This window comes from Homo sapiens, chromosome 2 (genome assembly GCF_000001405.40).
Source record: "Homo sapiens chromosome 2, GRCh38.p14 Primary Assembly".
NCBI lineage: Eukaryota > Metazoa > Chordata > Mammalia > Primates > Hominidae > Homo > Homo sapiens.
This window is the reverse complement of record NC_000002.12, coordinates 233,972,605-233,987,132: the sequence shown is the minus strand read 5'-3', so window position 1 is coordinate 233,987,132 and position 14,528 is coordinate 233,972,605. Positions and strand designations below refer to the sequence as shown.

General features: G+C 46.3%; 1 protein-coding gene across 24 annotated transcripts in view, besides 3 other annotated features; it reads right to left on the bottom strand.

Annotated features, from left to right (window-relative positions):
• The window catches only part of TRPM8 (transient receptor potential cation channel subfamily M member 8), a 102,150-nt gene that overhangs the window by 32,390 nt on the left and 55,232 nt on the right, over nucleotides 1–14,528 (bottom strand). For 16 of the 24 annotated variants that reach the window (NM_024080.5, XM_011511810.3, NM_001397608.1 and 13 more), the window contains 4 exons: nucleotides 6,854–6,945; nucleotides 5,218–5,359; nucleotides 3,909–4,080; nucleotides 1,268–1,445 (listed from right to left, as the gene is read on the bottom strand). In NM_024080.5, coding sequence (NP_076985.4) covers nucleotides 1,268–1,445; nucleotides 3,909–4,080; nucleotides 5,218–5,359; nucleotides 6,854–6,945 — 584 coding nt within the window. Of the gene's footprint in view, nucleotides 1–1,267; nucleotides 1,446–3,908; nucleotides 4,081–5,217; nucleotides 5,360–6,853; nucleotides 6,985–10,614; nucleotides 10,706–10,750; nucleotides 10,811–14,528 lie in introns of those variants that run through there. The other 8 variants (NM_001397620.1, XM_047445804.1, NM_001397625.1 and 5 more) reach the window with 3 other exon arrangements.
• Nucleotides 10,134–10,428: a silencer, noted in NCBI's record as "tiled region #7512; HepG2 Repressive non-DNase unmatched - State 8:EnhW". NCBI's record gives its function as "represses a minimal TATA promoter and a strong SV40 promoter by Sharpr-MPRA in HepG2 cells {active_cell/tissue: HepG2}" and the evidence as "EXISTENCE:reporter gene assay evidence [ECO:0000049][PMID:27701403]".
• Nucleotides 11,585–12,784: an enhancer, noted in NCBI's record as "CDK7 strongly-dependent group 2 enhancer chr2:234882993-234884192 (GRCh37/hg19 assembly coordinates)". NCBI's record gives its function as "activates an origin of replication core promoter dependent on BRD2, BRD4, P300/CBP, MED14 and CDK7 cofactors, with strong dependence on CDK7, by STARR-seq in HCT116 cells {active_cell/tissue: HCT116}" and the evidence as "EXISTENCE:reporter gene assay evidence [ECO:0000049][PMID:35650434]".
• Nucleotides 12,254–12,548: an enhancer, noted in NCBI's record as "tiled region #14260; K562 Activating non-DNase unmatched - State 10:DNaseD". NCBI's record gives its function as "activates a minimal TATA promoter and a strong SV40 promoter by Sharpr-MPRA in K562 cells {active_cell/tissue: K562}" and the evidence as "EXISTENCE:reporter gene assay evidence [ECO:0000049][PMID:27701403]".

The following is a 14,528-nucleotide window of genomic DNA, read 5'->3' as shown; positions in this document are numbered from 1 at the left end:
ATAAACATCTTTGTACATACACCTTTAGGATAGATTCCCAGATGTGAGAGAGTTCCGACAGAGGTTTGCATGTTTTTCCTTTAATAACTATTTTTGAAGTACTTTCCTAAGAATGGGAAGTGAGTCAGGTTCCCAGTAGCAATGTCCATTTCCCAGCATCATCCCAACACCAGAGACTCCCTTTAACTTTCGTTCATCTGCTGGGTTTAAAACAGCGTTTCATTGTTTCCACCTGAACTTTCCTATCCACAAGATTAAGTCCTTTTTTATGTGCTTATTGGCCATTGGACTTTTCTTTCTCTGAATTATTTATTTTCTCTGACAAGTTTTCTATGAGTTGTCTTTCTCTTATAAATTCACAGGAGCTCTTTCTATATTAGGAGATAAAAGCCTTTGTTCATTATATGCATTGCAAACATTTTCCCTAATTTATCAATTATATAAAACTGTTTTATATAATCAAATATGTTTATCTTCTCATTCAGAGTTTCTAGGTTTCTGGTTTTGAATAAAGAGTTCCCTTCCACCCAAAGGTTTAACAGATAATGTATTAAATGTGCATATGTGTTGGTTAATTTTCTTTCTGACCATGATGGGATTTGTGCACTTAAAATGCTGATATACCTTGAAGGAACAATATAAAACCAAGGCTCTCCCACTGAAACTACCACTGGGGCTCTTTGAAACCCTCCTAAGAAAGATGGAGAGGAAATGAAAAACATCATTTTCTAAATATATAAAGGAGAATTACCAATATTATTCCCTCCAACCTCATCAGGCATGAGCCCTAAAGGAGAGTCACTCTCCAGTCTCTGCTCTTTGTATTCTGATTTAAACTGAAAAATTTAAAACAGTAATTAACTAAAGTCTGAGTCCTGTAATCCTAGAATCCATACCACTGAGCCCCATAACATATAAGGCACTTTGGAGATGAGTTAAACTACATTTCCGTCACCAATGGGTGATATTGGTACCAACCTCATGGAGCTCCAAAGAGCTTGCTAAATGGATGCCAAATATGCAGTCTGGATTTGATGAAGATTGTCACAGGTGCTTGTCTTCAGTGTCAAATAAACTCAAGGCACAGCTTATATTTTTAATATGGTCCCTTTAAAAAGGCCCCACTCCCTCCAGTCCACCAATCCCCCAAAAGATCTCTAAAGTATGTTCCTCAAGGGTGGGACCTTTGCGATGCTCCCAGCACCTCCAGCCTGGCATGGGGCTTGGCCCAGGGTGGACATCAGTGAACATGTGACTGAACACATACCCAAACATGGCGACCAGCAGGTTGACCAGCAGGATGTTGGTGGATAACATGTAGATGCACACCAGGGGGATGGTGATCCACTCGGGGAACCGGGGCAGGTTGTGCTCATCCAGCTCCACACACAGTGGCTTGGACTCATTCCCAGTGAAGGTGCAGTGGGCAAAGTCATACGTGGTACCTGAGGATGTAGAAACCAACAGGCAAAGTGAGGACCCTCTGGAGGGGTGAGAGCGATGGCATTCCCAGGGCCACAAGAACATGTCAGTGGTCATGAAATGTCTTAGGCCTTCGTCTAAGGCACTTTGTCCAAACAAGTCATAGTCCTTAGAATCACCTGTTCATCCACTCAATGCATATTTACTGAGCAGCTACTAAGAACAAGGGGCTTTGTTAAGATCAAGATAAAAGGAAGGGCCAAGTGAACATGTTCTTTGCCCTCAAGAACGTTCCAGCCTCTTTGGATAGGCAGATAATCAACCACACACATTTAAAGTCTCAGTCCATGTAAAGTGCTAAGAAGGACACGCACAGTGCTCTGAGAAGCATAAACTGAGACAACTCATCCAGGAGCAGCTTCCCAAGAAGGAAGGGTCTCAGAACTGAGAGCAGAGGCTGAGCAGCAGGAACATGAACTAATGGGGAGGTTGGGAGCCTAGAGCACCCCACAGAGGCAACAGCATGGGCAAAGGCCCCGTGGTGGGGGTTGTAAACATCAGTGGAAATGGGAGAATAAGATGTGCACGGAGCAGACATATTAATTTTTTACATCTTTTTTTTTTTTTCAGACAGAATCTCACTCTGATGCCGAGGCTGGAGTGCAGTGGCACTATCTCGGCTCACTGCAACCTCTACCTCCCAGGTTCAAGTGATTCTCCTGCCTCAGCCTCCCGAGTAGCTGGGACTATAGGCGCATGCCACCATGCCCAGCTAATTTTTGTATTTTTAGTAGAGACAGGGTTTCACCATGTTGACCAGGCTGGTCTTGAACTCTTGTCCTTAGGTGATCCGTCTGCCTCGGCCTCCCAAAGTGCTGGGATTACAGGCATAAGCCACCATCCCCGGCCTATTTTTAAAATCTTTACACTGAAGTGATGGGAAGCCACAAGGCTGTTTTAAGCAGAGGAATGACACATCAGATTCCCTTTTCCAAAGAATCGCTCTGGCAGAAGCACAGATCAGAAGGGGCTCGAGGGGAAGGAAGGTGAGGAGGTTGTGCCTAAGACTCAGGCAGGCAAGCGACGAGGATGGCTCACGGGGCGGCAGTGGTGATGGAAAAAACAGATTTCAAAAAAACATTTAGGAGATAAAAATCAACAAAACTAGTGGATGAATTGAATAGAGGGGAATGAAATCTGAGAAGGTGTTAAGGACAACAATGAGGCTTCTGACAGCTCTGTTCACACAACTGTGTGGACGGTGGCAGCAGACCTTCACAGGAGGGCATCGGGGGAAGTTTGGGTCTGGAAGTGGGCATCAAGACCCTTTTATTAGGATGTGCCAAGGTGCGTCTGAGAAATCTCAGAGGAGGGGGCAGTGGGTACAAACGTCTGGCCTCTGAGAGCTGCTCCGTGCCAGAGATCCTCATCTGAGCATGTGTGGGGTCACACCGGCCAGTGAGAGGCCCTGTAGAGAAGATGGTGCTTTACCAGTTGTGCCCATGAAACAGAGACAGCAAAATGGAGTCACTTCCCGGGGGCACACAGCACATGAGTGGCTACCCTGGATCTGAACCCCGCCTGCCAATTCCTCTTTAGATCCTCATGGAGCTAAAATGACGGACGTGGAGGGTTGTTATGAGGATGAAATGCGTCTGCTTCTGTAAAGCGGCAGGCACAGTGTGCAGACTGGGAGTGACAACACCAAGGTGCCTTTCCACCACTGCAGGGGAAAAGAGCTGTTTCTAAGGTCTTGGAAGAGGCTTTAGCAGATGGGGCCAGAGAGACTTACAAGGCCAGGAGGATAACAGAGAAAACAACAGGAACAAAGAACTGTGACCAGGAGGAGCAGGCTCTGGCTCAGGGAAACCATCAGGATGGTTTTATCGTGGTAGGGTAGGAAATGACAAGCCAAGGCTATTGTCAGCATCCTAAAGATGCTTCAGCCCGTCCATCCAAAACACACAATTTACATAGCCCCTCACTTTCCTTCTGTAAATCGGGTGTGGGCAAATTAAAACCATCTGTGCCACCATCAGCCTGCCTCCAAAAACCAGTTGGCAGTGGGCTAACGCACGCCAGAAGTCTAAATTCCAGGTTCCAATGTGGATTTTCCAATGTTGCTCTTTTTGAAAGAAATGGGAGCCCAGCCACTCTGTTACATCGATGAGTACAACTCACAACCCTGGTTTCTAAACTAGTAAGTCTTGTTGCCTTCAATTGCCACATTGTTAATTGAAAATACCAGAATCACTATTTTTAAAAAGGTTTAAAAATTGAAATGTTGGGCACCATCTGCAAGGCTGATGTAAAATCTTGCTTAAGAGCAAAGAAGAGGTTTTGAGGAGTGAGTTTTTACTCTGTTATGTTGGACTCCGTTTCACGCGCGTGCTTCTGAAGTGCGGTCTCCGGGGCAGCCCTGGGGGTTGGTTCAGGGAGCAAATGCCTCCTCCAAGCTGTTTCCATCTGAGCCAAGTCAGGCTTACCATCCACGTCACTGGGCACCTGGCCGAACATGGCCAGGTAGGGCTCGTAGATGACCGAACGGAATATCCACCTCCAGCGCTGCTCATTCTGCCTAAGGATCCCTTGCCTGGCCACGCCAAAGGCCACCATCCACACCGCAAAGAGGAACAGGAAGAAGAACACATCGATCAGCTGTCAGGGGAGGACAGGAGAGCGGAGTCAGGACCGTGCCCACAGTTGGCAAGTCCCCCCGGCCCGGCCGTCCTCAGTGGACCATGGAGAAGAGCAGCGGTTCCAGGGCTCAGAGCATCTAAGTCACCCAGAGTTCACTGACTAATTGACAAAAGCGGTCATCATCATCTTTGGATCTTAAGACATCTATCTTCCAGAGTTAAAACCGGTTTGATGCATTTTTGCTTGCTGATGTCCAAACCAGCCCAGCAACAGCAGCTTTCTGAGTGGGAGCCCAGCTCTAGAGCAAAGGAGGAATCTAAGTTTTGGAGGACCTCTCTGTCCCTGTACCTCATGATTTTGATACACTTTTAACCCCAAAATTATTTTTGTAGTTTGTTGGTTTATTTGCTTGTTTGGAAAACAAAAGCTATCCTTATTAGACAAGAATGGACCGTTTAATTTTTTTTTAATTTTGTGCACACATAGCATGACTTCATGATGACTGGATGTCCCAGAAATGCTTTGAATTAAAACCACAAACTCAAAGAACCTCAGTGTTGGAATGGAGCTTCCAGATGAGCTCATCTCAATGCTCGTCTGATTTAAAGACAGAAACAGGGGAGGTTTGGGTCATCTGGAAAACAAGTTTAGGAAAGCAACACCATCCATGTGTAATTCTTTCTATTGCGTGTATATAACGAGACTGCTATAGCCTTTCCCTGTATCTATATTACACAGTTACATGATTCAGGTTCCAATCCTCACTATGCGTCTAGCTCACTGCTTGTCTCTAGACAAACACTCCTCCTTGGACTCAACTGTCCCCAGGTATCAAATTGGCATAAAAGTCCCTCCCCTGCCTACACTCTTAGCAAACTGTCAAGACTCAAATGAAAGTAACTTGTGAAGTATAAAATCTAAGTAAGTATGAGGTTATTTGTTAACAATGCACTAAATGACACTGTTTGCCCTCACAACCATCTTTCATTAAATTTTAACCTGGGAGAGGCCCCTGATGAAATACATCAAAGAAAGCGAATGTTACTGATGGTGAAATGCAACAGTCGTTCTAAGGACAAAATCCTCCTATCGACCATTAAAAGAACTCTGGGCCCCGCAAGAAAAATGATGACTACAAATATTCTTGACTCTTACCATCCTCTGCAGCATTATAATCTTGGGTCCTAAGTTTCTGCTTACAGTAAAAATGTGGATCAATCTTAGAGTGAAAATAATGTAGTCCAGACAGAAAATGACTCGTCCAGAATACAAAGAGCTTTTATTAGAAGAGTGGAGCCTAGGGGGAAAAGAAGGAACAGAATTCATGAGATATTGACAAAACATTCCAAAGTTTTGTTTCTAAAAATAACCCAATTTCAAGAAACAGGCAAGAGCTGGAAGGTTGAGTGAGTGAAAATAGGCCAGAAACACCACCCAGCAGAGGCCATGATCTTCCGCTTTCATGGCCTCAAGTAGAGTCAAGGACATGAAAAGACATGAAAAGCAAAGACATCTCACCAAACTGAGCTCTCGGAGGTTCCTGTCTCTTTAGCCCGCCATCCTCACACACTACAGCAGGAACCTAACCGTGCTATTGCTAACTTCCCTGGCTCACAAGGCTTCTATAACGATGCCAACCCCCAGCCCACCCCCATAACCACTTGGGACTTCACCCTGCCAGCTTTCCCCTAATGAAACTTACCTCATTTGCACCAGATCATTTGATTATCTAACCACCTGCTAATGTGCTCATTGAAAGCCATCTGTGCTTTCTAACTGGAGTGATCTAGAATCATATCCAACCAACTGTGGCTCAAATGCTGAAACCTTAAACCCAACCAGAAAGGGAGGCTATCTGAAGAGGAAATTGATGTTTTTACCCCATTCAAATTGGAGGGCGAACACTCATTGTAAACCATCTCATTCTGTATAAGTGTAAATATGAATGGTTAAGATTCTTTACAAAATGACATCATTTGAAAGTACTACTCATATATAATTGCTAGCCTTATATTTTTTAAAAAATTGAAACAGGGTCTCACTATGTTGCTCAGGCTGGTCTCAAACTCCTGGGCTCAAGTGATCCTCCCACCTCATCCTCCCAAAGTGTTGGGATTACAGGTGTGAGCCACCATGCCCAGTTGCTAGCTTTATCTTAAAAGCTATTTGGGGACGACAGGCCAGTTAGGATGCAGGCTAGGCAATGCAAACCATGGTTTGGGGCATACCCTAATCTCTCTACGATGTGGAATACACATTGTTTTTGTGGTGGTAATTTGTGGTTGGTTTTTCTAATCCCACACTCTGGCTGTGCCATTGAGGAAATACGCTTGTAACTGGAAGGGCAGACTCCACAGCCAGCATTCAAATCAAAGTTCTCAATTTCTATTTATTTCTCCCCATGATCAGGGGCAGAGGCTCATGTCTGTGATCCCAACACTTTGGGAGGCTGAGGCAGGTGGATCCCTTGAGCCCTGGCATTTGAGACCAGCCTGGACAACATGATGAAACCTCATCTCTACTTAAAAAAAATAATTCTCCCCAAAGTCTTTAAGAACAAAGAGAAAAATCATGCAGGACCCCTTTTAAATTACACATCAGTGGGAGGGGGAAGAGAGGGGACTCAACTTCACGACAACCAAGGTGTATCTCTATAAAGCAGACACCATGGTCTTGTGTAATAATCTCTAATGAGTAATAGACTTCCCTTGGGTTTGAAATGTCTGCAGAGCTTTTCTCCACTTTTGTAGTCAAAACACAGAAAATTAGGAAAAGTGATGAGACTACTTACCGAAATACAATTCCTGCTATGAAGTAAAAAAGCCCCAGCGTGTCCATCACATTCCACAGGTCAGTAAAATAATTCACCCCATTTACGTACCACTGCGTACAGAAAGGGACAGAGAGGGACATCAGCAGCTTGGAAATATCAACCATTTCCAGATTTTTAAATGTCCACTCATTTTCTTCCAGGTCCTTTTTGAGCCAATGACGTGTTTGTTTATTCTTTCATATGCCAAGTGAGCCCTACCACGTGCCCCACGCTAATCCAGGAGGATTGGAAAGTAGGTAGCACACTGGCTGTTCTGCTCTTCATGTCTGCTGGCAAAGTCAGGAAAAAGGATGGATGTATCCTCACCATTTTTTCAAGAGGAACCTGCAGAGGGTGAGTACACCCTCCGTAGGCAGATGTAGACTGTCCAGCCACCATGTACAGTGGTACAGGCTGTGCACTACACAGTCCTAGAGGGTATTACTCATATTGTTGTCATCATAGATTTGTGTCATTACTGTAAAAATTTTCTGCCACATGGCAGTAAAACATCTTGATTAAAAGAAATCTTTTTTTAAAAAAAATGTGCACATAAGTGCTGTATATAACTTCTGTGAGGACAGATGTGGTCGCAGAAAGGACTGACAGGAACAGTGTGCCTCAGGGACCGACGTGTATGTATTGGTCATGATTCTTTGGAAGAAAGTATGTCAGGAAAACACTGAAATAAACAGAGAGTATCCTTTCTCTTTTCGCATTTTCCCGAAGAGGGAAAGGAGAAGACCACATCTGGATGACTCCTAAATCAATCCATAAACTGGATTTGGGTAATTCCAGAGTGACCAGCTAATCCTTTCATTTGTCCATCCATTCAAATATATTTACAGAGAGCACATGGAATTCCAAACACCTGTGCCAGGCTCCCGGCACACAGAAACACTGGATTAGGTGCAATGCTAATTCTCAAGGAATCTACTGTTTGGTGGGAAAGACAGATGTTAAACATGTTGAAAAGAAACGACACGAAGATCGGTATGAGGATGAGACCGAGGCCCTACGTGAATTCACATATGGAAACCAACACTTGTGCAAGGCGGGGAAATAACATCAAAGAAATGTCACCAAAGCAAGAGGGCACTTCTTAATGTTACTAAATGAACTCACCAATAGGAGTCCATCTGATATTTAGATATTATATTTCCTACTTTGCTGCCAAAATCACAGCCTAGAGAGGCTAAGGAACTCGCTCAGCAAGTGGCAGACCTCATGATTCTGAGCCCGAGTCAGTTGCTTCTCCCCACATCACTCTGCTTCTTCAGATCCCACAGAGGTCCTACAGTCTCAGATGTGGAAGGGATTCAAGACACATCATTAATTTCTCAAGAAGCATTTCCTTTCCTTCATTTATAAATTCGAATAGCAACTTGAGTGGGCCAAGGGGGTGAGGGCACTATGAAATCAAGCACCCAGGAAATGTTAAAATCCCCCAGGTTGGGGCAGCACCGTGGGGTGTGTCAACAGTCCAGTCACTGTGTGAAGGCTAAACTCTCTCTCTTTTTTATTCAGTAAATAGGATGTTTATTGCAGCATTTTTGTTGCAGGGAAAAGCATAATCTAGGAAAAAGATGTGGTCCATCATTCAAGGAATATTGAATATACTACAATCATGTTTTTAAAAAGGAACAGAGTGATGTCATTTGTCTTGAAGAGATTTCCACAAAGTAAAAGAGAAAGCAAAATGCAGAAAAGTATGGGAAACAGAATATTGTTTTTGTAAAACCAGGAACGAAGAAAAAAGCCCCCAAACATACATATGCCTACCCTATTTCATTAAACCTCAGATTGTAAGAAATTGCAGTTTCAGAGATGTTAAAAAGTGAAAAAAATGACATCTCAGGTTTGATGTAATACAGTGTGTGTACATAGCACATGGACCAAATAAAAGCAGAAAGAGACACAGCAGTTTATTAACATAGCTTGAGAGGCCTTGTCTTTAGAGTAAAGGTTGAGAAAGTCCGTAGGGAGACTAACAAAGAAGGAAAAAAAGGCTCAACTTAAAAAGTACACACACACACACACACACACACACACACACACACTATAATATTCCATTTCTGTGAAATACGTGTGTTCACAAGAAACTAGGCTGAAAACAAGATCTATGTCTAAGATTAACTTGCAGGAATGCCCATGAGAAATTCTAAAAAAAAAAAAAAGCAAATTGTAAGGTGATGAACACAGTAGGATTCCATTTGGATAAAAACAAACAAAACACCTGCATACATTCATATCTTTATGGGCATGAAGAAGGTCGTGGAAGATTATACTCTAGATTGGGCAGGATTATTCTTTATGTAGTCCCACTTGTGATAAGCATTATTACTTTGTGATTTTATACAACTAAATAAAATAAAAATGGACAAAAATCGAGGGGAAACAGATACATCTTGCCATATAGCTAAAATATATTTGATATTTTCATTTGTGCTACAGTTGTCTCTGCCAATAACCATTATTATCAGGACCATAATGAAGGACAAGAGATCTGCTAATGTATTGTCAACATTCTTGTCACCCTATTCACTCAGTTCAAACATTCTGCCTAGGCTCAGAAACCAAGGCAGGCTCCTCGGGGGAGGCCACAGGAACTGTCCGCTTTGCTGGTGCTAGCAGCCCCAGGGACCCCTCACCAACAACCATTTGCTCTTCTGGTGCCTGGTAAGATAAGGGGGATTGGGAAAGGCCCTCCCTGCTGCTAGCTCCCCGCTTAATGCCCTGCTCTGGGAGGCAGGTAGGCACTGCCCCAGCCCAACCTCAGCCCGGGAGACTTGCAGAAGCCTGACCTACATGAAGAGCGACGTCGGAAATAGGTCAATCCTGAGGCTCCAAGTTACCATCGCAGGGAGATAATGTGTTTTTAAAGGAAAAGAGGCCTCTTCTCTGAGCAGAATGCCTGGGATAAGCTGTATTCATAAAATCCCAGGACACTATTTCATCATATCTGTCAGGATTTGGAGATTCAACGTGCCTCAAAATTGAATGGTGCCCTCCGTGAAGGCATGATGGGACTCATCCATTTTAAATAAACATCCCCAATGTCTGTTTAACAGACCCAAGGATTATTTAGCAACTGTATTTGCACTTATTGACTGCCTCGTTTCAAAATTCCAAATCAGCATTTCGACATCTGCATTCAGGCAAAGGGACACAGGTACACACGGAAGAGCATGACTTTTTGACACAATCTAAATCAGACACAATCTAAATCAGGTCACACCCTGCTTGGGTTCTTTTTTCTTTTTTTCCCCTAACAAGTGTAAACTAGGTTAATTAAGACAGCACCAGGCCAGCAGAACTATTTCTTAGAGGAAAGCAATCCCATTTAGGATGTCAAATGCATGAGTCTGCAGACCAGAAGAGAAACAGTGACCCCAAGTGTCGGATTATTTTAACGATAAGAATCTCCATGGCTATGTTCTACAGACCTGTTCATGTACCAGAATCAGAGTTGTAAGGCCAGAAAAGCCCTCGGATGGCAGAGCCACCTGGAACACACACTGCTGACCCTAAGCACAGGGTGCTTCCCATACTGTTGCTTTCATACCCAGGATTGCTGAGTTAAAAGTGGCCCACTCAAAGATCGTTCTTAAAAATAACAAGAAGAGATACTTAGTAAGCATCCCCCCATAGCCAGCATCACCCACAATGAAAGCAGACAGAATAGGTAGGGGTCAGCCAGACCCCCACCCTTCCTCCCGCAGCCCCTGGGAATTACTCACAGCACGTTGTCCTTCCTCAGTTCTCCTGCGCACCTGCCCCTGTCTACTCCCACCCCATGTCCCTGCCCTGTGTCCTCCCTGAGCAAAAACACCTCATGCTAACCCTGCCCAGGGCCTTTCTCCAAGGAAAATGTACCTCTCCTGAGTCTCCTCCTGCATGACCCAAACAGGTGACTTAGTAGCTAAATGCACACAGGAAATTGGCACAGAGTTGTCTGTGATTTACAGACTTCGGATTTTACTGTTGCAAGTCCTCTGGGCCAACCTCCCAGTAAGTGTAAGACTCGCCCACTTAGTGCTGCTTGCCGATGCTCATCTCCTCTCCTCGAAAGCTCCTGGAAATCATCAGGAACTGGTAGAATGCTCCATAGGGGAAGAGATCTTCGTCTGTTTGGTCCATTGCTGTCTAGAACAGTGCCTGGCACAAAGTAGGGGTGTGAAGTATTTGTTGAAAGGAAGAATGCATGAATGAAATATTTGGATGAAGCCAAGACAAATCTCCCTGCAGCTTCCATCCAGGCCAAGGTCTGCCTTCCAAAGCAACCCAGAACAAGTCCTCTCTCTCAGATTCCTGGGTTTTTGTGTGTGTGTTTTTTGTTTGTTTGTTCATTTGTTTTTGTTTTGTTTTGTTTTGTTTGAGGTGGAGTCTCACTCTGTCACCCAGGCTGGAGTGCAGTGGTGCAATCTCAGCTCACTGCAACCTCTGCCTCCAGGGTTCAAGCGATTCTACTGCCTCAGCCTCCTGAGTAGCTGGGATTACAGGCACGCGCCACCATGCCCGGCTAATTTTTGTACTTTTTAGTAGAGACGGGATTTTGCCATGTTGGCCAGGCTGGTCTCGAACTCCTGAGCTCAGGTGATCCGCCCGCCTTGGCCTCCCACAGTGCTGGGATTGCAGGCGGGAGCCACCGTGCCCAGCCTCTGGTTTCTTTAGATGCCTAAAGGAGTCAAACAACGTCTGGACTTGCACAGCAGCTTCCAAGCCTTAATGCAGCAAGGGAGGCAGGGTCAGGGACAGGTAGAGAAATGTTTGGGAGCCTGAGGGGTGAAAAGTAGCAGAAAAAAGACTTTTGACTTTTCATCAACCATTCTGAGAAGAGGCCACCAAAGCGCCCTCTGCCCTAGAGAACACCCTTGAGCTCCTGGCTGTGGGGCTGTGGGCAGGGTTCCTCTCCAGCTCCCCAGCGCTGGTCTCCTGAGTGTTACCATGGCCACTCCAGGGCACACAGCCCTTGAGTTGAATTATGAAGACCGTGCTTCATCAATGCATTTACTAAAAACACACATGCTTGTCAGAAACGTGTCGGTGCCAACACCTGTGCTAGCCCGAGGACCAAATGTGAATAAGAAATAAACATCTAAATCAAATCATTCCCATGCCACGCAATTCTGAGCAACAACAGAGTATGTGTTAGGAACTGGAAAAGCTCAAAGGACCTCCCAGTGGGGTTGATGCAAGAAGAGATGCACTAGGGCACCATGCCAGACGCCCATCCTCTTATTCTCTAAATAACCTCTTGCAGGTCAAAAAAAATTCAGTAAGTTACTATTGTACCAGCCATTTGCAATTCCAGATGGTTTTTTCTCCCTCCCCACCTCCACATTTCTCTCCTCTGCCTCTCTCTCTCTCTGTCTCTCTCTCTCTCTCTGCTAATTTGTGCTCATGACTCATTTCCCCACCAGGCTATGAATCCAGTGTCACTTGATTCTACTCAATGGCTACCTTTGAGATGTCAGGCTGGTCGCCTGAGTCATGCAGTGTGCTGCTCCAGTTCCTACAGATGCCGTGCCTCTTCCAGCAAACTCTGCTGCCCCCACAGAGCTCAAGATCCTGCCTATGAGTCACCACCAAGGGTTGGAGGCCTGTGTGACCTCCCAGGTGGTCCAGCTGCCTCTCCAGGAAGCTGTGCCAGAAAAGGCCTGCCAGGAACCAGCGGGCTGCCCTCCAAGGTTAAAAATTTCCACAGACCAGTCAAAACCTTTTGGTGGCCGAGCGCAGTGGCTCACACCTATAATCCCGGCACTTTGGGAGGCCGAGGTGGGTGGATCACAAGGTCAAGAGATTGAGACCATCCTGGCCAACATGGTGAAACCCCGTCTCTACTAAAAATACAAAAATTAGCTGGGCATGGTGGTGCGTGCCTGTAGTCCCAGATACTCAGGAGGCTGAGGCACGAGAATCACTTGAACCTGGGAGGTGGAGGTTGCAGTGAGCCAAGATCACGCCATTGCACTCCAGCCCGGGCAACAGAGCAAGATACAGTCTCAAAAAAAAACAACAAAAAAACTAAAAAACAAAAAAAATTTGGCACTTACCCCACTTGTGGGGCAGACACTGTCCCAGTTGTTCCCAGTCCGTGATAAGACATCAGCCAGTCCCTCAGAGGGAATGAGAGGTAGGGGGTGTTGGGACACTTCCCCCTCCAGTGCTACAAAACCCCCAATCTCACCCTTTCAGCCCCTCCCTCTTGCAAAAGCTAAGCTGGGAATGCTGTCTTTTTGTCCCTGAAATGCCTTTGAAAAGGGTCTTTGTCATGGTCAACTACAAGTGAGAGTGGAGGAAACCACGCCAGGTCGGGAGAAGGGAAAACGCAGGGCCTCACCCAGAGTGAGCTCCCGCACCGTGGCTCCAGGGCTCCTAGCTGGATGAGGGCTGCTTCTCTCACTTCCTCACTCTGGTCTGGGCCCACCCTGTTTTAAATGATGAATCTCCTTCAGTCTTTCTCTGCTTCCCTCAAACAGACTATTCCCATTCCCTCGCTGCTGCTGACACATACATAGCAAGGCACAACACAGAGCTAGGAAGTAGGATGGCAGCTAAGAGAAAGAGACTCGTTTTAGGTGTTACAGGTTAAATTGTGTCTCCAAAGATTCAAACATGGAAGTCCTAGCCCCCAGTACCTTGGCATGTGACATTGTTTGGAAACAGGGGCATTGCAGATATAACTAATTAAGTAAAGAGGAAGTCATGCTGAAGTAGGGTGACCCCTGATCCAGTACGACGAATGTCCCCAGGGAGAGCGGAGATTTGGACACAATCACTCATGCAGGAGTCACCCATGAGGACAGGGATCAGAGGGATGCATCGACAAGCCAAGGAATGGTGAAGCTTGCCAGCTGGCCGCCAAAAGCTAGAGGAGAGGCTAGGACAGAGTCTCCCGCACAGCCTCCAGAGGGAGTCAGCCCTGCTGACAGCTTGATCTCAGACTTCTGGCCTCTAGAACCATAAGGCAATGAACTTCTGTTATTAAAGCCATGAGGTCTATGGTGCTTCATCTTGGCAGCCCTACAGACTAATACCGAGGGCATGGCCTGGGCAGAGCTGTGACTTCCCAGGGCAGTGCATGGGACTCCCATGGGGCTGATCCAAAGTTGGGGAAATTCCCTGCACATAGCAGGGCCCCGTCCTGGGGCAAGAATTGCTGGTAGGTGAAGCCTGATAATCCTGCTGTTCAACACTGACATGAGTCATTTACCTTACGCTTCTGAGAGGTGACAGCGTGCTGGCAGTCCTCACAGCCCTCGCTTGCTCTCGGCACCTCCTCTGCCTGGGCTCCCACTTTGGCGGCACTTGAGGAGCCCTTCAGCCCACCGCTGCACTGTGGGAGCCCCTTTCTGGGCTGGCCAAGGCCAGAGCTGGCACCCTCAGCTTGCAGGGAAGTGTGGAAGGAGTGGCGTGAGCGGGAACCGGGGCTGCGTGTGGAGCTTGCGGGCCAGATGGAGTTCCGGGTGGGCGTGGGCTTGGCGGGCCCCGCACTGGGAGCAGCCGGCCGGCCCTGCCCGCCCGGGCAATGAGAGGTTTAGCACCCGGGCCAGTGGCTGCGGAGAGTGTACTGGGTCCCCCAGCAGTGCCGGCCCACCGGCGCTGCACTCAATTTCTCACCGGGCCGTAGCTGCCTTCCCGTGGGGCAGGG